We start from the raw sequence: 23,294 nt of genomic DNA, 5'->3' as shown, positions 1-23,294 counted from the left end.
CCCATCCCAGTTGGCCAAGGGAGGGCTGATGGTGGTGGCTGAGTCCAGGGCTTCCCCTGCGTTGCCCAGGATCTGTTAGTCTCAGTGTTCCTGGTGGGCCAGGGAGAAGTCCCTGCCTTGGCCTTCTGTTACCCATTAGCGCCAGCGTTCCTGAGGGGAGGGAGCCAGCGGATTTTGGGGGCACTTTGCCAGTTCCAGGCCAGGCCTCCCTGCAGCCACAGCTGGGGCACTTTGTTCTTTGCAGCCGATGCATAGCAGCTGGCTCCACCAGCAACCAGGCAGGATGGCCACCCTTGGGCTGTTCAGTTCCCTGAACGAGGGAGAGGCCAGGGCTTTGGATTGGGATCCAGGATTTGCTTGACTCTGGCAGCCCCAGCTGGGCTGAAGTCAGGGGAAGCAGAAGCAGGCAGGCCATCCACAGGGTCTGGAAATGATCTCTCCAATAGCAGAGAAAGGCCAGGCCCTGGGGAAGGTGGAATGACCACTCTGCCCTGGCAGGCCCCGCAGGATGCAGCCAATGGTCCAGGCTTCCAGGTCTGCCACCAGCTTCAGGGACCATAAGACCCACCACCCCTCCTACCAGGGAGCACTTAGTCAGGGCCTGGTGAGGGGCAAAGTGGTCTCGGGGCACCTCCTGCACCTATCCTCACAAAAGCCAAGGAGAGGGGTCCTCTTATTATAATAACGAGATTCAGATAATCGAGCCACTGCTTCCAGCCCACAGAGCCACTATGTCGCCCACATGTGGGGGTCGTCACAGTGGGAATGTATGGGGGCTACTTGTGTAATGTGCACCTCCCTGATTAAGGCTCTAAGCTCTGTGTCACTGAGCAGAGCTGCCATGTGCATTTATGTCTGGCCAATGCGATGTTCAACATCGTGACTCTGGTGCTACGCACAGTGCCTGGCACATAATAGGACCTCCATAGGTAATACGGGAAGAAAGGAGACCATTGGGTCAGGATCCCAACACAGGTCAGCTTGATCCTGAGCCTGTGCGCTAAACCACTGCGCACACTACCTCACTGTCACCCGAGGTCTCTCTTGACAAACTTCTGGAAGGCTGGTGAAGGTCCTGGGAACAGACCCAGATAGAGCCCTGCACCCAGTCTAGGCTGGAAAGCAGATAGCACTGGCCTTGACTTCATGGAAGGAGCTTAGGGAAAGGGGGAAGGACACCCTGTCTCCCCTTCTCCGTCCCCCTATCAAGAGTCCCCACTCCTGAGGCTTTGGGAAGGTCCCTCCTCCATGGAAGACCTCACTGGGCCAGCTGGTTCCTGGGTGGCTTCTTACTTCCCCAGCCCCGTAAGGCAGGGGTCATGGGCAGCTGGAGGAGTCTGGCCCTGCATGGGCTGGGTAGCAGGGAGGGCTTCAATAGGGAGGCCTTTCCTGGAAGAAATAACTACATTTGTAGCGTGCTTCCAATCTTGCTCCATGGAGCAATTCAGTCCTTGGCTTTCACGGTGCAGCTGGATCATCTGCTTTCACAGTTTTGCTGGAACCTCAGCCTCCAGGCCAACACTTCTGTTGTCTCAAGCATCTGAGGGTGTTCACCCCAGACATATTTACACCAGGCACTGCCAGCCTACTGGGGCGGTGTGTCTGCCAGAGAGGCGTTCAGGAAACCCCACAGCTGGGCTGCTGAGAGCGGTCTCACTGTCCTTTAAATGTATTCATTAGAATCCTCTCTGAGCCTCTCCTCTGTCCCACGCTAAGTAGGCAGATCCACCAGGGGAAGCACAGCCCTGGACTCAAGGGGCTGCCAGGCCAGTAGGGGAGGAAAACATGCCAGCAGACAACAATCACAGAGGGATGCTAGTGTGCAGGGACACATGGAGGGGCCCGAATGTCCTAGGGGGCTTTTGGCTACAAGTAACAGAGAAATCAACTCATCCTAGACATAGGATGTGATTGTGGGTTTGTTTGTTTGTTTGTTTTTTTGAGACAGAGTTTCACTCTGGCCCAGGCTGGAGTGCAGTGGCGTGATCTCGGCTCATTGCAGCTTTGATCTCCTGGGCTCAAGCAATCCTCCCATTTCAGCCTCCTGAGTAGCTGGGACTACAGGTGCTCACCACCATGCCCAGCCAATTTTTGTACTTCGTGTAGAGATGGAGTTTTGTCATGTTGCCCAGGCTGGTCTCAAACTCCTGGGCTCAAGCAATCCTCCTGCTTCAGCCTCCCAAAATGCTGAGATTACAGGCATGAGCCACCTTGCTTGGTGACATAGGATGCTTATTGGTTCACTTGACAGGGAGGGGATTGGGACAGTGTTGCCTAGCGAGACTGCCTCATCCCATCTTTCTGCTCAGCCATCCTCAATGCTTTTGGTGATGCCACAATACCGAGCATTATATCCGCTTATTGAAAACCAGAGTGGAAGGGCAGGCTCTCCTGTACCTGTTCCTTTTATCAAGAAGGAAAAGCTTTCCCAGAAGCTCCCATCAGACATCCTGTTACATCTAATTGGCTCAGCTAGGTCACATGGGCATGGATAGCTACAAGGGAGGCTGGGAAATGGAGTAGCCTGCATTCTCAGTTCTGTATCAGTAGAAAACAGGACAGAGGAAATGGCACGGAGCTGGAAAGAGGTTATCTGCCCCTGCTTTATCTAGAACAGGTGCTCTCAACCACAGAATGATCAACATTCTGGCCTAAAAAATTACTGTGAGGGCAGGAAGTTTTGCAGCGTCCTTGGCCTCTAGCCCCTGGATGCACCCCTACACCTCTCCTCCAAGCTATGACAGCCCAAAACACTTCCAGACATTGCCAAATGTCCTGCTGGGGAGGGAAGTGAAATCACCCTCATCAGGTTGGTCTTGAACTCCTGGCCTCAAGCAATCCTCCTACAATGGCCTCCCAAAGTGCTAGGATTACAGGTGTGAGTCAAGGTGCCCAGCCCACCCTCCACTGAGAAGCACTGATCTAAGAGTCTTCACTAAGCCATACTGAGAAGTTAGGGAAGGTTTCCCTGGAGGAGGTACTGACTGAGCTCAGATGTGAAGGGTGTGGAGTTGTAGAGCTGGGGAAGGGGGAACACGGGCTGGAACCAGGTCTTTAAGCCCAGTGTTTCATCCACTATACCTGACGCTTATGAGGCAGCACTGATAAGGGAATTGCTACATGACCGATGCCCACTGCTACGGCTGGAGCCATTTTCCTGGCGATGTGGGCACACCAGTGGGCAGGAGGGGTTGTAGGAGAAACTGCCCTAGTCTTGGAGACCATGAGATTGATGACTTCTGCCCAGTGTCTCCTACCTCTGATTTCCTCCCAGCTAGACAGAGAGTCCTTGAGTTCTGGTGTGACAGTGACAACCAAAGACTAGAGTGGGGTCCTGTTGGGAGAGTCGGAGTTTAGTGCCTGCCCCCCTCCTTTGTTGTCAATCAGACACTTGGGGCCCACCTGTGCTGTCCTCGCACTGCCCACCCACCCCCACTGTTTTTGGGAAAGACTTTGCGGGGCCACCTTTTTGCTTGGTCACTTTCCAGAACCCCACACTCTGGGCTGTGCACTCACTGGGCTCTCCTCTCAGTCCCCTTTGCTGGGTCTTTCCCTCCTGGCAGTCTTCGTCACGCTGGTGTTCCTCGGGCCTTGGTCCCTTTTCTTCTCTGTCCGCACTCAGACCCTTCGGGACCTCATTTGGCCTCATGGCATTAAATAACATCTACACACACAGCACTCCCAAATACGCACCCTAGTTCACCACCCCCAGCCAAAGCCCACTTTTGGATGTTTTTTTTTTTTAATTTTTGAGACAAGGTCTTGTTCTGTCACCCAGGCTGGAGTGCAGTGGCGTGATCTCAGCTTACTGCAGCCTTGATCTCCTGGGCTTAAGCGATCCTCCCACCTCAGCCTCCTGAGTAGCTGGGAACACAGGAACACACTACCATGCCCAGCTAATTTTTTGATTTTTTTGTAGATACGGGATCTTACTTTGTTGCCCAGACTGGTCTTGAACTCCTGGGCTCAAGCGATCATCCTACTTCAGTCTCCCAAAGTGCTGGGATTACAGGCCACCACACCTGGCCCATTTTTGTATTTCTAATGGCCACCTGACTCCTCTCCACAATACCTAGTAGACTTCCCCAAAGTAATTCCTGATTTTCTTTCTCTCTACCTCCCAACACCCAAATCTATTCCACCAGTGTCTTCTCCATCTCAGGTGATGAAGACTTCATCCTTCCCATTGCTCAGGCCCCAAGCCTCGGGGGCATTCTTGACTCATGTTTCTCCAACAGTCCCTATCCCGTGTGAGGGAATCTTGTCTTCACCTTTAAAATATATCCAGGCTCTGCCCACATTTCATCACCTCCACTGCCTCCACCTTCTTCTCTTGCCTGCATTATTGCAATGGCTTCTCAGTTTATTTTCCTGATTCTCCCTGGGATCCCTAAAGTTGGTTGTCAACACACCAGCCACGGTATTCTCTTAAAAAAAAAAACAGAGATGGGGTCTTGCTATGTTGGCCAGGTTGGTCTTGGCCCAAGCAGTCTTCTCACCTTGGCCTCCCAAAGTGCTAGGATTACAGGCATGAACCACTGTGTCTGGCCCACAGTAACTTTTTTTTTTTTTTTTTTTTTTTTAAAGGACAGAGTTTTGCTCTGTCACCCAGGCTGGAGTGCAGTGGTGTGATCTCAGCTCACTGCAACCTCCATCTCCCAGGTTCAAGCAATTCTCCTCCTTCAGCCTCCTGAGTAGCTGGGATTACAGGTGCCCGCCACCACACCCAGCTAATTTTTGTATTTTTGTAGAGATGGGGTTTCGCCATGTTGGCCAGGCTGGCCTCGAACTCCTGACCTCAAGTGACCCACCTGCCTCAGCCTCCCAAAGCGCTGGGATTACAGGTGTGAGCCACTGTGCCTGACCCACACTATCATTTTAAAAAGGTCTTGGAGTATGCTATGACTCTGCCCTCACCCTGCAGAGCCGTCTCCTTTAGACACCCACGTTCCCTGATGGCCCTCAAGGCCCCACCTGACCTGGCCATGTTCCCTCTGAACTTGCTTGTACCACGCTTGCTCTCCTTCCCTCCATCTGCTCTGGCCACAAGGGACACACCAAAGGGCTCCTGCATGGAGACTTTTCTTCAGCTGTGCCCTCTTAAGTGCTTCCCCCAGATGCCGCGTGGCTTCCCACAAGGCCTGCAAGCCTGCCAGCCTCCTGGCTCTATTTTTCCCCATAGCACTTCTAATATACTGTATGATTCACTTATTTCTTACATTATTGGTCAGTCTTCTCTTGCTAGAATGCAAACTTCACATGAGAGACAGGTTTTGTCTTTTTTTATTCACTGATGTATCCCAAACACCCACACAGCACAGGACACACAGAGAGCCCTTAATAAGTATTTACTGAATGTCAGTGAAGTCATTTACACTTTGGTATAAATAAATGTGCATTCTCCCCCTTTACCCCAGATAATTTGCCTTCTGTTTTTTCCCTACTAATTTCTAGAAGGGGTTATTTCTTGCATCACAGTGCACTTGGGAAAGGCATTTTGGGGCTGTGGGTTTTACAGTCTTTTTTTTCTTTTTCTTTTTTTTTTTTTTGAGACAGAGTCTTGCTGTGTCGCCCAGGCTGGAGTGCAGTGGCACGATCTCGGCTCCCTGCAAGCTCTGCCTCCCAGGTTCACGCCATTCTCCTGCCTCAGCCTCTCCGAGTAGTTGGGACTACAGGCGCCCGCCACCATGCCCGGCTAATTTTTTGTATTTTTAGTAGAGACGAGGTTTCATGGTGGTCTCGATCTCCTGACGTGATCCGCCCGCGTTGGCCTCCCAAAGTGCTGGGATTACTAAGCATGAGGCACCACGCCCGGCCTACAGTCTTGAAATAACACTTAGTAGACTGAAGACCCACTGTGGGGCAAGGACTCAAGGAGAGAGAAGCCCAAAGAACTGCCTCACACTCCTCAAAATCAGAGGGGGTGGGTGGCAGCCTCCTGGGTTTGACAGAGAGGGAAGGAAGGGATAGCATCTCACCCACGTTTATTATGTGACCACAGCTGGCTGCTCCAAGGACAGGGAAGAAGAGAGAGGCGTGGAGAAATAGACAAGCTACTCGCAAGGTTGTAGTTGTATTCAGAAGGTGTCTGGTTGCTTGCCTGGACTTCCCTTCCTGCAGCTACTAGATGTGGCAGGTGGGCCAGAGTTGCTGAGAAGCTAAAAAAACTCAAGCTGCAGGGACCTGCACTGCAGTGAGGCCCCTTCCAAGGCCCTGGGGGGATTTGATGCTTATGGTCTTGTCAGCTTTAAGAAAATGTGTCATTTGTTGTGATTCTTCCCCCTCATTCTAAACATCCACTTTCTATCCCTAACATTGTATTTGTGAATTTGTATTTTTTTCTTTTTTTTTGAGACAAAGTCTCATTCTTGTCCCCCAGGCTGGAGTGCAATGGTGCCATCTCAGCTCACTGCAACCTCTGCCTCCCGGGTTCAAGTGATTCTCCTGCCTCGGTGCCTCCTGCCCCCCAACCCTGAATAGCTGGGATTACAGGTGCCTGCCACCATGCCTGGCTAATTTTTGTATTTTTAGTAGAGACACGGTTTCACCATGTTGGCCAGCCTGGTCTAGAACTCCTGACCTCAGGTGATCCACCCGCCTCTGCCTTCCAAAGTGCTGGGATTACAGGCGTGAGTCACCGCACCTGGCTGTATTTTTTTTTTAAAGAGGGCCCCTAAATTGTATAAGCTCAGCTCCCACAGAACCTGGACGTCGCAGGGAGGCTGAAGGCTATGGCCCAGGCTCCCCTGGTGCAATCTGTGTCACTGAAGCTGGCTGCATTGCTGCTTTTCTGAGGGCACCTAATAAGAATTTGATTTCCCTGAGCCAGTGTGGGGTCCTATTTTCTTCTGTGCATCTCAACTGAGCCTTAGGGAGCTGGGAAAGGCTATGGAGATGGGGTACTTGTGGGGTTGGAGCACCCTCTGCTGGGAAAGCAGAGGTACAGCCGGGAGTGGCTGCACTGAATCAGGGTTGTTAGACACAGGTCAGAAAGCAGGAGGGGCTTGGACTTAGCTCACAGACAAGCCCCTCTTTTGGGGCATGGGCACATTGGAGCACACACACCTCATCTCTGAAATTCAAATGCGAGTATGCTGCTGTGTACATGTGCTCCATTTCCATCCCACCTGGAGGAATACCAACAGGAGTAACCGCAATTCAGTTCTGACACTAACCCCCCTAGGGTTGGCAGCAGACTTTAGTTTTCGGGCTCAGTCCTCCACAAAACTGCCTCTGTTTCAGTACCAGCTGCAAGTTGGGCACCCAGACCACCTGCACTTCTGACCAGCCAGCTACAAATTTGAGCATCCCCACTGCTTCCCCAGTTTTGATAATTTGCTGGAATGACTCAAAGCTCACTGAAAGCACGATACTGTGCTTATAAAATCACAGCTTTATTACAAAGATACAGCTCGGGAACAGGCACACGAACAGTGACAGAGGGCAAGGTCTGGGAGGGAGCACAGAGCTTCCATGTTCTCTTCCCATGGAATCAGGGATCGCCAGCCTCTGGCATCTCAATGTGTTCACCAACCAGGGAGTTCTGCAGAGCCTCAGTGTGCAGAGTATTTACTGGGGTTTCATTGCCTAGGCTTGCTTGAGTGAACACTGGCCACATGACTAAACTCAATCTCCAGCCCCCTCTCTCCTTCCTGGAAGTCTATTGGCCAAAAGTACCAACCTCTAATCCTGTGGGTGGTCTTTCTGGTGACCAGCACCTGCCTAAAGTGATCTAGGGGTCCACCCTGAGCCACCTCTTTAGCATAACAAAGATTTTCATCTCTCAGGAAATTACAAGGGTTTTGAAGCTCTGTGCCAAGAACCGGGAAGAAGACCAACTATATTCTTTATCATCAAATAACACATCCACACAAGCACAAATCATGTCTCAGGTAGCCTGGACCCCACAGCATTTAGCCAGTCACTCTGTTTCATCCACAGACTGCCTAGGGTGGTGGCAACACAAGCCAAAGCCCTCTGAGGGTTCCCTGGATGACCTTCCATAAAAGGAGCTCCCGGGCCTGGGGCAGCCTCACCCCAGCTGCCCTTGGGTTCCCTCCCCTCCAGGACACCTGCTTCTTGAAGAATGGTTCAAGGCCACTGGGCAGGAGTTCGTGTTTAGGGCACAGGCTGGCCTTGCCAGTCATTGTGTTCTTTTGTTTAAAACAAAACAAAACAAATCCCAAGCCCCCACTTGGCAAGGCAGGCCTGGTCGCCTGAGGACACCACAGCTGCCACCATAGTCAGACACCAGAGGCTGCAGTTTGCATCGTGAACCTGCAGGCCCGGGACCATGAATGACACCCTGCACCGTTACCACTGCTGCCCCGGGAACTCCACTGAACTTCAACGTTGCAGCTACCACAGGGAATTCTCTGTAGCCCTTGGTTCTTTGGTGCCAGCTCCTGTATTTGGAGTGGCTATCTGGGTAGGCATAATCCTATGTCCCAGCTGCCTTCCCCAACACTTGTAAGGTAGGGCATTTTTCAGCCCAGGTGGGAAGCCAAAAAAAAAAAAAAAATGCCGGATGTCTCTCTGTCTCCTGTTCTTTCAGGCCTATGATACTGCGCTGCCCACACCACACCCCCCAGTGCTGCTGGCCCCTGGTCTTCCCACCCCACCCTCCAAGACCATGGACAAATTCTTCTGTTTTAATGCCAGCCTGAAGCCATGGCCTGAGATTGGAACACCCCCCATGGTATTTCCAACACCTATTAGTTGGGTGTTTCAAAGATAGCTGTTCAGTTTGGTCCCTCCTGTGCTCTGCTGGTCCTCCAGCTCCCCATACCTCTCCCTCTCAGGAGTGGAACACCACTGTAAGGAGGGCATGCTTATATTAGGCACTTACTGTATGCCAGGCCTTGGGCTTGGTGTTTCATGTGTGTGATTTCATTAAATCTTCACAGCCATGTTCTCTGATGGCCTTCAAGCCCCCACCTGACCTGAACACATTCCCTCTGAACTCACTTCCACCATGCTTTCCTTCTTTCCATCTGCTCCAGCCACAGAGGACACACCCTATAGAGGAGGTGGTACCACTAACATTCCTGTTTACAGATGAGCAAACTGAGATTCAGAGAGGATAAATGAATTGCTCAGAGTCAGAGATGGTAATTGGTGAAGCCAAACAGAATTCAAACCCAGGAGTGTCAAATGCCAGAATTCGCAGGCTTAATCCCTTCATAGTTCTAGTACACAGATATCCACACTCCGCTTCTCCCACCTGCTCCCAGCACAATTTCTGAGCCATGCAGCTGGTGGGGAGAGGGCATCAACTTGCCCTTGAGAATTTGGCCACACAGAGCACCATCTCAGCCTTCGCCGCCTTCCGTTAGCCAGTCCAGCCTGGCAGAGGGGCGGGGAGGCAACGTGGCTAAGCCCTCAGGGAGCCACAGCTGTATTGCCAGGGCCTGGATCTTGGCGTTGCTACTTACTGGCTGGGGCACCTTGGGCAAAATGCTTAAATTCTCCACACGCCCCCCTCCGCCCCCGTTTCCCTGGCTGCAAAATGGGGATTCTACAGTGCTCACTATGCAGAATCACTGTAAGGATGCTAGGAGTGAGTGCATGAAGCCGCATTGAGTCGGGTATGGAAGGACAGCAAGCACAGGGTGCCGTCTCTCTGGGTTGCAGCCTGACCACCTCTGAAGGCTGGGCCAGCGCCTCTGAGCCATCTTTGACCTTGACGCCCCTCCTGCTCCTGCAAGGCCCCTCTACCTCTGCCTCGTCCTCCATGGGAAAGCTGCAGCTGCTGCTGGGGTCCTCCTGCCTGCCAGCCTCCTGACCTGCCAAACTGACAAAGCGCTTGTGCAGTCCTGTCCTCATGGAGCAGGACTCCTCTCTGCGGTCTGCCCAGCTTCAGGGCGGGCTGACTGGAGAAGATGAATAAATATTCATGGAGCTCTTCCTGGGTGCCTGATTTTCTTCCTCACAAGGGTGCAAGATGGTCACAATGAGGACACGGAGCCTTGGAGAGGTCTGCCCAGGGGTTGGGCTGCTGGACCTTTCGAGGCTCAGATTCCAAGTTGGCGTTCCTCAGGGGCAGAAGTTTGGGAGATCAGAGAAACTTGCTAAGACCCCAAGTTTAGGAGAAGGCAAAGCACAATTCTCCGGATGACTTTTGGAGCTGACCTGACACCTAGCGGCCACAAGTGGGAATTACTCCACCTTTGGAGGCTCCCAGGGCCGCTGAGGCAGATGGGCTTGGCCACCCATCTCTTACTTGAGTGTCAAGGGGTGGCCTGGAGGGTTGGGGTGGGGTGTGGGGGAGATTTTAACTTCCCTGTAATCTCCATCATTTCGCCAAAGCCACCCAAACAAAAATAAGATTTGATAAGAACAACTGCTGCCTTTTCCATTTTATGCAAAAGATGAGAACAAAATTATCTTGAAAAAATGTGTTTTTATTGATCCATAAGCATTACAAATTTATAACTTGTCCATCACACATTTTGCTACTTCATAGCCTCTCCTTCTTGCCCACACATAACCCTCAGGGTTGCACCTGGGCACTCAGTTACAGGCAGGGAACTTGGAGAATTTTATGGATTATAAGAGATTTAAAAGACATGATCCCATCCAGGCACGGCAGCTCACGCCTGTAATCCCAGCACTTTGGGAGGCCAAGGCAGACAGATCACTTGAGGTCAGGAGTTCAAGACCAACCTGACCAACATGGGGAAACCCTGTCTCCACTAAAAATACAAAAAATTAGCTGCTCATGGTGGTGCAAGCCTGTAATCCCAACTACTCGGGAGGATGAGGCATGAGAATTGCTTGAATCTGGAAGGCAGAGATTGTAGTTAGCTGTGTTCACGCCACTGCACTCCAGCCTGGGTGACAGAGTGAGACTCTTTCTCAAAAAAAAAAAAAAAAAAAAAAAAAAAAAAAAAGACATGATCCCAGACGACAAGGACTTCACTTTATTCGGGGAGATAGAGCAGATGTCTACAGAGCACCCGATGTTATGGTAGATGTTTCAGCCCATAGACTCCTTATTGCATTTCGTTTTCTTTTCTTTTCTTTGTTTTTTGTTTTTTTTTTTTTTTTTTGAGATGGAGTTTTGCTCTTGTCACCCAGGCTGGAGTGCGATGGCGTGATCTCAGCTCACTGCAACCTCTGCCTCCCAGGTTCAAGCAATTCTCCTGCCTCAGCCTCTTGAGTAGATGAGATTACAGGCACCTGCCACCATGCCTGGCTAATTTTTGTATTTTTAGTAGAGATGGGGTTTCACCATGTTGGCCAGGCTGGTCTCGAACTCCTGACCTGAGGTGATCAGCCTGCCTTGGCCTCCCAAAGTGCTGGATTTCAGGCATGAGCCACTGCGTCTGGCCTTTGCATTTCTTTATATTCCTTTTATCATCCTCATTTTGACTCTGAGCCCCTAATCCACCCCGTTGATGGAAATTCCATTTCAGGAACATGCTCAGGGTGGTGCCACTGAGGCTCTGTGGTGCCCACTTGTCCCGAGAGGCCCTCTACCTATTGCTCACCAGTCCACACTGATTATTGCTGGGGGTCATTGGTCCCAACCCAGGGGGTCCCTACAGAGCTGCTGCTCTGATGCCCTCATGCTATGTTTGGGGCAGGGGAGCTCTGCCAGGCTGGGAGCCCAGACCAAGAGTCAGCCTCCAGGGCACAGCTCAGCTACTTGTTCTGAGGTCCTGCCGGACTTGAAGACCTCCCTCTCCTCCCGGCAGTGCTGGGGAAGCTCCTCTGAGGGCTGCTGTAACCCACCCTTCTCACTCTTCTCCTCAGTTCTGTTTTCACCAGTGAGCTTAGGCTGGGGGAAATGTGTACTAGGGAGGGATGAGTCTTGCTAGAAACTTCTATCCTGGCCCTAAACCTCATAAAGGCTAAGATTTTAATAAGGAAGAGAAAGGGGGGGAATACGGCACATGAGTGGGGACATAAATTATTTCCAATAATTCCGCTGCATGTGCAGAGGGGTCTTGGTGTTCACCTCCACCCTTGGTGAAGCCAAGTGAAACACAAGAGATAGTGACTTGGTTCCTAGACCCTTCGCTGCTGCGCCAAAGCGTGGGTTACCAAATATCAGCCTTCCCTCGCCCCCTAAACTTTCCCAACTTTCCACCACTTACCCCAAACAATCACCGGTGAATGTGCTCGTTCATTTCACAGGTGTTTATTGAGCATCTACTATGTGCCAAGCACTACATGGGGCTGCAGAGGGGCACAAGAAAGTTCCTGCCTTGCTAATCTACAATGGTGTCTGGTAAGATCAATCAAAACTCCCAAAGGTGCCTGTTCCACCCACTTAATCAGTGAATGCTGTTCTTGGCTATTCCTTTTATTCCTTCGCTAAGCTGTTCCTGTCTCCCCAGTTTCTCAAGGAATTTAAAGGTGAAATGCAGAATGATAGACTCCTAGACCGGACTGGGAAGGCTTTATTTCAGCTGCTCCATTTTCAAGGGGAGCCACTGGGGATCCAAGGTCATGTGGCCAGGATGAGATGCCCACTCTCTTGGTCTCCTGTCCTGGCTCCCTCCTTGTGACCCCACAGCATTTCTTTGCTTTTTAAAGGCCCCTGCCCTCATTCCCTCAGCATCTGTTCCCCCTGTCACTGCCTCCCACCAAGGAAGTCTCCCCTGGACTCAGGTTCTAATCACTGTGACAACTGCCCTCATGCTCTGACCTGCTCCCTGAGGCTCTTTCCCTGCTGCCTAGCAACCCCATCACGTTCCCAATTTGTCTGTGCAGCTCTTAATGAGGCTGCATTGACATGTCCCCTGGTGGTCACTAAAAGCAGAAGGTGGCCCCCTGGTGACGGGCACACCACCAGCAGCCCAAGACACCCAGAACCAAGCCAGACTTTATTTGCTTGTGCCCAGCCCCTGCCACAGCATCTGTCCATCGAGATTTCAGCCACCTCTTGCTCTCCTCCCTGCCACCATCCGACTTGCGAGGACTCCTCTCGCCGAGACTTCTTTCTAGACCAGACTTGTTGCTATGGCTTCATCGTGTTCAAGAAACTGGTACGAAAGGTAAGGGAAAGATGCTGAGCACCCGTACAGCCTCATGGCTGATGGGTGAGAATGTTAAGACAGGCTTAAATCCAAAGGAGACCATTTGTAAACCCATCTCTGGCCTTAGAGGTCATGCTGTTAACCATTATATCTCCCCCACTACACATGTGTGCATGTGTGTGCGTGTGCACACACACACACTTATAAGTATGTGGGAAAGGCATGCACATGTGCACCTAAGATCGTTTGCAAGAGCCCTTTGGGGAGGCAGAGTAAACTATGGAGGGAGATAAAAATGGACCTTCATTTTTTTTCCTTGCTATACTTCTGTGGGTTTAGAATTTTTTTTCTTTTCTTTTTTTTTTTTTTTAGATGGAGTCTTACTCTGTCACCCAGGCTGTAGTGCAATGGTGCGATCTCAGCTCACTGCAACCTCTGCCTTCCAGGTTCAAGCAATTCTCCTGCCTCAGCCTCCCAAGTAGCTGGGATTACAGGCGCCTGCCACCACACCTGGCTAATTTTCACTAAGTTTTGTGTTTTTAATAGAGGTGGGGGTTTCACCATCTTGGCCAGGCTGGTCTTGAACTCCTGACCTCGTGCTCCACCAGCCTCGGCCTCCCAAAGTGCTGGGATTACAGGCGTGAGCACCGCGCCCAGCCGGGTTTAGAATTTTTACAATGAGATATTATTTGTAACATAAAACAAAAATGAAAAGGATCATGCAACAATAAAAATTAAAACTCTGCTCTTCAATCACAGCTGATAAAGCGGCAGTGTGTGATCTGAAGGGCAATTTGAAGTGGCCCCAAGGGCTCCTGCTCAGGCGCTGAGACTCAGGGACCCAGACCCCAGTTCTGTCTCTCGATGGCCATGTGACCTTGCCTGCAAACCTGGGGACTTTGCTGGACGTGGAACCTGGTCTGGAGCCTCTGAGATGGGCACTTGCCATCAGCTTCCCCAGGAACAAGAGGTGCCACTTTAGGTACGGGGCAGGTGAGGAGGCACGGGGCAGGTGAGGAGGCACGGGGCAGGTGAGGAGGCACGGGGCAGGTGAGGAGGCACAGGGACAGGCCGCTGAGCAGCACAGGAGTGGGAGGCCCGGTGGTAGCAGGGCGGGCCTGAGCCACCTTTGGCGCCCTCTTGCTGGATGCCAGTGTCCCTACCGAGTGACGCCCCCTGTGCCAGCCGCTGTGTGCATTTCCCCCACTCACTCCTTGCAGCCCCCTCCCAGGTGCCGCGGTTATCTCCTCATTTTAAAGGGAGAGGAGATCCGCGCACAGCCGCAGCCTTGTTCCGCAGAGCAGGGCTTGCAGCTGGGTCTGGCTGCCTTTCTTGTCTGCATCGCGGTTTCTCCACGTGGACGACGCTGAGTGGAGCGAAGGAAAGAGGTACTGGGAGAAGGCTCGTGGGGCAGGGCCGGATGGGAGGCCTTGCTCCACAGAAGCTCTTAAGAACACAGGCCAGCCACAGGGCCACCAAGACAGATGGGAGCTCAGCTGCAGACCCAGGCTTGGCAGGGGCAACTGTGTCCTTCGTCTGGGCTGGGAGGTCTAACGCAGTGAGAGACAGAACAGGTGTGGACCCCTCAGGCCTGGAGTCTCGGCCAGAGTTGCCCTTCCCAGCTGCGAGAATTTGGCTGCTTTTCTTTTCTTTTTTATTTTTGAGACAGGGTCTCACTTTGTCGTCCAGGCTGAAGTGCAGTGATGCAATCTCGGCTGGCTGTAGCCTCTGCCTCCTGAGCTCAAGTAATCACCCCACTTCAGCCTCCCAAGTAGCTGGGACTTCAAGCATGCACTGCCATGTTCAGCTAATGTGTTTTTTTGGTTTTTAGTAGAGACGGGGGTCTTGCTATCTTGCCCAGGCTTGTCTCGACCTCCTGGGCTCAAGTGATCCTCCTGTTTCAGCCTCCCAAAGTGCTGGGATTATAGGCATGGGCTACTGCACCCGGTGAACTTGGCTTCTTTGCTGCACTTCTCTAGAGCTCTGTTTCATCACTTGCTAAGTGGGGTGATGGCAGCATTGCCATGGGGCACCGTGAGGCTGCAGAGCGTGCCTATTGGGCAAGTGGAGAGGACAGGCATGTGGCGGGGACTTATTATGGGTTGCTTACTGGCATCACCGTCATCATGGACCGGTCCTCTCTCTTCAAGGAGTTCAGTCTAAGATACAGCATCCCTCACTTGCCAAGCCATGGCAGAGTAGCGGGACCTGTAGTCCCTAACACACCGTTAGCATTTGGTGCTTGTGTGCCTCCGCCCTCTGTCTAGGTCTCCGTCTTGCCAGACTCGGCTGAAACATTGCCGCCTCCCGCCTGAGCGACACTTCCTCTTTGGGCTGCAAGGGCGCCTGGTACACACCCCTACGGCTCCTCTCACCTCACCAGGGCATAAAGATCTGCTCCCTTGCCTGCCCTCCTCCTGGGCTGTGAGTGTGGGCTCCGGCTCCTCCCGCTGGCATCCCCAGCATCCGGCCCAGCAGCCAGCAGCGCCTGATTGGGCTCAAGTTTCGCTGAACAAGTGAATTGGGGATGAGAAGGGGGGTAGACAGTGGGGCCCAGACTTGGCATGCAGGGAACAGGCAGGTGGGTGAAGCCTCAAGTAATAAAGTGTAGACAGGAAAGCTGGAGGAGCTCACATCAGCCCAGCCAGGGCCCCTTGCAGAGAACGGGGATCGTCGCGGGGCCTGGGCTGACCTGAAGTTCACCATGCCTGTCTTCTCATCGAGCTTCTTTATCACCTCCCTGACCTGGTACTGGTTCAGGGGGACCTTGTTTTGCTGAGGAGGTGGATGGAACATGTGCAGTTAATAGAACTCTGTTCACCCCTCCCTAGGCACACCCCCCCAAACACACTACCCCCCCAACACACACACCCCACCCCCCCAACACACACCCCCACACACACTACCACACACACACACACCCCACCCCCCAACACACACACTCCCCCACACACACTACCACACACCCCACCCCCAACACACACACCCCCCCACACTACCACACACACACCCCATCCCCCCAACACACACCCCCCACACACACACACCCCACCCCCCAACACACCCACACACCCCACACACTACCACATGCACACACACACCCCACCCCCAACACACACCCCCCCACACTACCACACACACACCCCACCCCCCCAACACACACACACACACACACACACACCCCACACACCTACCACCCCCCCCAACACACACACCCCACACAATGCCTCACTCTTGGGACCATGGAGGGCATCTGATTGAGAGCTCAGGGGAAACTGATTCCACAGCATGGAGGGGCTGGAAAAAGCTCCCTGCCCATGGGTCATTGTCCAGACTCCAAAGGGCCTCCCCTTTTTGGGGGCAATAAGGCAGGAGGAGATCAGAGTCAGGTGGAGCGAGTGACCGGGGGAGGGAACAGGACTCTCCTTTGCATCCTGTGAAGTTCATTCTCACTTCCTGCTGCTGAGTCCTGGCCAGCCTCTTCACCCCCGGCCTGGGCACCGGGCACCGACTGCCTTATCCGTCCCTGCCTGGGCCCCGGGAACTTCTCCTCTGGAGTCCTATTCCTGCAGGGCCCAAGTCTCTCCTGGGACGCTCTGATGATAGACCCCTTCAAGTATGCATTACAGGGGGCTTTCAGTACCTTTATTACATGGGGAGCGAGAGGAATGTGAGATTTCAGGAAAATGATTCCTAAGGTGGAAATGTTGGGACTTTGGGATGTGGTCTCCTCTCTCACTCCCTTTGTTATCTGCCCAGTAGTGAAATGCAATGGGGAGAAAAACCTCAAGATAGAACATGTGTCTCTGAGTGGCATCTCGGGTCACTGGTGGCATCAAGCCACAGCACAGGAATGACTTCAGCAGGGGTTGAGGGAGGTCTTAGGTTCCCCTCTGGGTCTAGATAAATGAGGGGAGTGTCCCATAGCCTGTCCCAGGAAGCTCTAGGAAGTGCTCACAAGCTCTTTTGCTCCTTCTCCTCCTCTCCCCTCTCTCTGACACACAAACTCACACTCACACTCACACACAGCCTGTTGCCACTAGGACCCAGCACACCTCTATCATCACTTTCTGGAACTCATCCACAGACATCTTCATTGTCCCAGTGGGGTTCAAGCTCTTGAAGAAGTCCACGATCGTGATTTTGTGTTGGTCTGCATAGCTCTGAGAGAAGCAGGAGAGACCAGGAGCAAACACTTGGTCTTGTAACAACGATCGCAGGTCCCCCTTCCCTCCCACAAAAGAGCGGCCCATGCTTCCAGGCCTAACAAGGCTAAAAAGGGCAGAAGGCCAAGGTGAGGAGCCTGCGTCTCCCGGGTGTTGGGTGTCCCCTAAGACCAAGAGCCGAGTGCAGACCCACCAGGCATGGCAAAGGTGCATGCCGGGATGATTCCTGTGTGCTCGCCATGCTTCTAGGAGCCCCTTGGCACTGCACAGACGCTCCCTCCATTCCAAAGTTGGAAGGACTGAAGTCAAGGCTGTTCAGGCACCGCAGTGCCACGAGGATGGGACAGTGATCATTATCTACAAACGCAATCTGTTAACACTGGTATAGATGGTGTGCTGTGGATGGCGCGCGGATGTTCAGAGATCAAAAGGTTAAATCACAGCTGTATAATGTGACAGTTTGGCTCTACGAATTCCTAGGATTCTCACAGTTTCACCTCAATGCTCATATGGAAACATACTTTGTTAGAATATTTTTAAAAGGATATTTCATTTTTTTCATTTAAAAAATATAGTCATCCCTTGATATGTGCAAGGGATTGGTTCCAGGACCCCCTCAGATACCAAAATCCACCAATATGAAAAGGCAGGCCCTCCATATCCGTGGGTTTCTCATTCCTCAAATACTGTATTTTGGATCCACATTTGCATATGCAGAACCCACAGGTACGAAGGGCTGACTGTATTTATTGAAAAAAATCCAAATACATAAAAGTGGATGAAATGGCACAGTTCAAACCTGTGTTGTTCAAGGATCAAGTGTATTATTACTCACGTTGCAAGGCAATTTTAGATTAGCAGGAGAAAATTTTAAAAATCACCCATAAATCCAATACCACCACACAGAGGTAACATCTTGGTGTGGACCCTTTTATCTTTTTAACTATCTATCTGACATCAATCTGTCTAACTTCTATCTATCTGTATAACATTTATCTATCTAATCTCTCATCTTTCTACTAAACCTATTGTTTTACAGAACCCACTGTTCACATATGAACACCTTTTCAATGTCATTATAATATTCTTTTCCTCTCTTTTTTTTTATTTTGAAACAGAGTCTCGCTCTGTCGCCTAGGCTAGAGTTCAGTGGCTCGATCTCGGCTCACTGCAACCTCTGCCTCCCAGGTTCAAGCAATTCTCCTGCCTCAGCCTCCCGGGTAGCTGGGATTACAGGCATGCGCCATCATGCACAGCCTATTTTTGTATTTTTAGTAGAGATGGGGTTTCACCATGTTGGTCAGGCTGGTCTTGAACTTCTGACCTCAAGTGATCCTTCCACCCCAGCCTCCCAAAGTGCTGGGATTACAGGCATGAGCTACTGCATCCGGCCTTACAATATTACAATATTCTTTTTGGTCCTTTTTAAGTATTTTTTTTTCTCTTCCCCGCACCCGGCCTTACGATATTACAGTATTCTTTTGGGTCCTTTTTAAGTACTTTTTTTCTCTTCTCCCCCGCCACCCCCCTTCCCCCCGCCACCCCCCCCCCCCCTTCCTCTCACTCTCAGAAACTCCCAGACAGCGTCCTACTGTATCGATAGCTATTTCTGGCAACGTCCTTCTCACGAAGCATTTCCTCAGGGTTCAGCCCTGGGGCCCTTGCTCTTTGTTCCCCACACTTCCCTTTCTGGAGTGCACGGCCTCCCACCCTTCCGGAGTGCCTCCCAAAGCTACATTTCCAGTTCTCCATCCTCCACAGCTGCTGGACACCCCACCGGCACTTCAATCAACACATCCAAAGTGCACCTCGTGCTCTGAAGCAGCACACTGCTGCTGAGCGCTATGGCAGATGCCATGGGTGAGCCCTCGGCACCCACTGCTGTTTCTTCACAGCAGGCTTCTCATCCATGCAGAGCCTGGAAAGCTGAAAGCGACATTCCCCAAGTCCCCTTGCAGCTGGGGGTCAGAATGGATGGCCTTTGCCAAGCACCTGCCTGAGATGTAAGTGTGAGGCTTGTGTCTGATTTGAGAGAGGCAGGTGGTGGGCAGCGGCTGTGGTTGCTTCATGACTGAGCGGGGCATTCCGCAATCATGCAGCTTCTTGATTATAGCAGAAGCAGCAACTCTTGGCAACTCAGTTGGGGTGCTTTGAGAGCCATTTCTGGAATCTAACAAGAGTCTGTTTGTTCAGCCCTCCTGACATTTCTTTGATCTCTCTCCTGTAATAAACCCCCGTGTGCTTAGCCTAGTTGGAGTAAATTCTGTGGCCAGCAACTAAGAACCTTGCCCAGCTACTTTGGTAGGTGCTACTACTAAGACCCCACACAGCCCTGCCCTGGAGGAGTTCACAGGTTGCAATGCAAGGGTGAAGCCAAGGGCTTCGGGAACACGAAGGGCGTTCGCTCTTGACCAGGGAATCCAAGAAGGGTTTCCCCAGGAAGTGACATTGTGTAGAGACCTGAGAACGGGTAGGAATGAGCGAGACCCAGAGGGCAAGAAGAAAAGTGTTCCAGGTGGAAGGACCTGCCCTGACCGTACACAGGCCTGCAGTGAAGGGAGAGCTGATGCAAAGAGGATCCGGAAGCAATCCAGTGGGGCTAGAACGTGGAGAGACAGTAAGGGCCAGGTGGCAGGCACTTTCCCCATCTGCACTTCCCTGCCTCTGGCAATCTTTCCTTCAGTCCCTTGGCCTTGAAATCTTGGGTTATCTTTGGGTTTCTTTTATCATCACAGGCCTTCCTATCCCAACACACACACACACACACACACACACACACTCACATGCATGCAATACACACCCCCACATATCCAACCATTCGCCAAGTCCTAGAGATGTTTCCATAATGATAGCTCTTACATCTGCCCTTCAATTCCATTGTTATTCTCAGCCAAGCCATCATTCCACATCTAGAGTGCTACAATAGTGTGCTTGTTTGGTTTCCTACTCTTTTTTCTTACCCTCTTCAATTCACTCCCCATTGCCAGAACTCCTCAATCCTGCTGGATTCGCATCACATCCACTGCCCAGCAGCTCTCACCGGCCCCCTGTTCCCGATGGAATCAAACTCGAACTCAGAGCCTAAAATCTGAGGGCTGCCACTTGCAGCCCAGCCTCCCTTGCCAGCTTTGCCTCTTGGGCTCCTCTATGAACCTGGAGTCATGTGTTAGTGTCCCCTGAACATGCTGTGTGCGGTTCCACCTCAGCACCTTTGCTGGCAGGAGCCTCTCGCCGGAACACCCTCCCACTCTCTGTGGCTCACCTCAATCTTTGACATTCTTCAAGGCCCTTACCCACTCCCATCTCTTCCAAGAAGTCATCCTTTTCTGGTTGCCGAATCCTACGTTGATCTCTTATTTGGATTCTGACTACATTTTCTGCCTCTGTCACTTATTTATTATTTATCACATGACACTTTTTTTTTTTTTGAGACAGAGTCTCGCTCTGTTGCCCAGGCTGGAGTGCAGTGGCATAATCTCAGCTCGCTGCAGCCTCCGCCTCCTGGGTTCAAGCGTCGAGCGATTCTTGTGCCTCAGTTTCCCAAGTAGCTGGGATTATAGGCATCTGCCACCACGCTCGGCTAATTTTTGTATTTTTAGAAGAGATGGGGTTTTGCCATGTTGGCCAGGCTGGTCTCAAACTTCTGACCTCAAGTGATCCACCCGCTTTGGCCTCCCGAATTGCTGGGATTACAGGCATAGCCACCGTGCCTGGCCATATGAAACTTTCTATGTTCTGTGGGTCGTCACTGTAGCCATCCCATCTTTCCAATGAGATTGTTGATCCCCTGAGGGGAAGGGCTATGTTGGACTCTGCATGTTTGGTCTCCAAGATTCTTTTTCTGTGTGTCTTTAAAACAAGAGGTGGGGTCCCCACTTTGCATCAGACAGCTCCATTCCTGTTCACTGGAGCACCCTGCTCCCCTTGCAAAACAGGTTTGCCTTGGTTCCATCTGAAGTCATCTTACCTGTACAAATACTGGACACCGCTTTGTCTTCTAGAATTTTTCACATAACAATTTTCATGTGGGAGCTCTTTTATTTAGTTCTAGAAACTGAGGCACAGAGCAGACCCACTGGGGGCAGGAAGCAGCCCGGGGACACACCCTGCAGAACGTGCATTGGCAGAGCAGCATCCCCACGCCTGCTCCCCAGGTAGTAACCGCTCTGCGGCCAGCAGCAGGCTCCTTGCCCCCACTGCAGGGTGAGAGGCCCGCTGTGGAAACACCAAAGCAGGGTCTGAGCACTGTTCTGCAAGACAATGGGACTAGAGGAGCAATAACATCCCTTTCGGCGCTACTATTCTCTGATTTTGTATTTCCACTGTTACATCTGCCTCCTGTGATTGCCAGAGCTAATCTAAGAAAAGATGAGTTGGGGGCAAGTTATCATTAGAAACAAAGGACTCGAGTGTTTCTCTTTGGCTGAACCCGCCAAATAGCCATCCTGACCACAAGGATGTCTTGACATCCTTACCAGCTGTTGGAAAGAACAGCTTTACCTCTGCCTCCTGTGATTGCCAGAGATAATCTAAGAAAACATGAGTCGGGGGCAAGTTACCATTAGAAACAAAGGACTGAAGTGTCTCTCTTTGGCTGGAGCTGCCAAATAGCCATCCTGACCGCAGGGATGTCTTGATATCCTTACCAGCAGTTGGAAAGAAACTATGTCTATAATAAGCAGGTGCTTGTTCTATACCAGGCATCCTTCTAAGCACTTCATGCATTTGACATAATTTGATTTTCCAAGCAATCCTACTGGGTGGCTACTGTTGTGTCCATTCTGCAGGTGAAGAGACTGTGACCCAGAGAGCTTTAGTAACTTGCCCTTGGTCATACGCTAGCAGGTGGAGGAGTCCGGGTGGGATAATCCATTCTGTCCACCTGCCCCCTTCAGCTAGATCTCAGCCCTTCCCTTCCTCTGGAGATCAGGAAGCACTGCTGAGGGATCTGGTAGCCACGGAGAATATTCATTCCATGTCTGCTGTCCAAGGGACTGAGACATTCCTTATCAGAGAGGGTTGTACAGACACTGTGGGGAGGGAGAAGTCTGGAAACTGATTTGGAGCCATTGGCCAGCTTTCCCCAGGGCTCCCTGGAGGCCCTGAGAGGAAGGCAGGAGCTCACCTGGATCAGTTTCATGGGGTTTGTCAACAAGAAGATGGTTTTCTTGGGAGAGAGGCCTTGTACTGCCTTGAATACCACGTCCAGCTGCGGGTGAACGGCATACACTCCGTCCAACGTTTTCATGAACTGCTCGGACACCAGCACGTTCTGTGACAGGGAGAGAGGGGACCCATGATGATGAGGGCACTGCCATCGTGCCTGCCCAACCAGTGCACCCTACCCCTTCCACCCAAGCCAAAGTCAGGAAGTTTTGTCTCTTCCAGTTTGTTCTCAGTGCTGCTCCTGGACTGGGATAGTTCGGGTATTTTAGAGCTTGTAAATTGACTTGTAAGTTTCCTGGGTAATTTTGATGGGATGTTTTTGTTGAGTGCTGGTGGCTTGTCACCTGCTGCCAGTTCAGCTCCACTCTCAAATGGCATCTGCATCTGACAGATGATTTACAGCTTTGGAGTGGCAAGATAGTCCTTAAACAAAGCCCTGAAATGTCCATGTCTGCGTGAGTGTTGTTTGTCAGAGAAAGTGCCCTGGAAGAGGATCCCTGATTCCAATAAGTGACCAGGGACAAAATGGAAACTTCCCCTTCTGGAAGTGCCCTCAGAGCTGGTTTGTAGGACATGGGAGAAAATGTGTCCTGTGAAATAGTGTTTGATCAAACCTGGGCTCCACCAGTTTGGTCAGCCTGCTTCATTCCTCAGATGTGGCTCGGAGTACATTTTGCCCTTTCAAAGAATTAAACCCCTGTTTAAGGGCAGAAGGCTTTGTAGAGATTCTAGAGAAAGTTCTAGGAGCATCTACAAAAGAGGAATTTCTATACTGTTCAGAGTTATGGAGGCATTGTTGACAAAAGGGAAGGAGAAGGCTAATACAGGCTCGATGTCTCAAGCCTGTAATCCCAGCACTTTGGGAGGCCAAGGTGGGTGTATCACTTGAGGTCGGAAATTCAAGACCAGCCTGGCCAACATGGTGAAACTCTGTTTCTACTAAAAATACAAAAAAATTAGCCAGGTGCGGTAGTGG

General features: G+C 51.6%; 1 protein-coding gene across 9 annotated transcripts in view; it reads right to left on the bottom strand.

Annotated features, from left to right (window-relative positions):
* Positions 1-12,812: 12,812 nt before the first annotated feature.
* Positions 12,813-23,294, bottom strand: part of LRRC74A (leucine rich repeat containing 74A) — a 43,897-nt gene continuing 33,415 nt past the window's right edge. For 6 of the 9 annotated variants that reach the window (NR_169572.1, NR_169573.1, NM_001385106.1 and 3 more), the window contains 4 exons: positions 22,278-22,424; positions 17,042-17,149; positions 15,679-15,761; positions 12,813-12,992 (listed from right to left, as the gene is read on the bottom strand). Coding sequence is in view for 7 of the 9 variants with exons in the window: in NM_001385106.1 (NP_001372035.1) it covers positions 12,968-12,992; positions 15,679-15,761; positions 17,042-17,149; positions 22,278-22,424 (363 nt within the window). In the remaining 2 variants the exon portion in view is untranslated. Of the gene's footprint in view, positions 12,993-15,620; positions 15,762-17,041; positions 17,150-22,277; positions 22,425-23,294 lie in introns of all 9 variants that reach the window. The other 3 variants (XM_017021035.3, XM_047431012.1, XM_047431013.1) reach the window with 1 other exon arrangement.

This window comes from Homo sapiens, chromosome 14 (assembly GCF_000001405.40).
Source record: "Homo sapiens chromosome 14, GRCh38.p14 Primary Assembly".
Classification (NCBI taxonomy): domain Eukaryota; kingdom Metazoa; phylum Chordata; class Mammalia; order Primates; family Hominidae; genus Homo; species Homo sapiens.
This window is presented reverse-complemented; position numbering and strand designations above follow the sequence as displayed.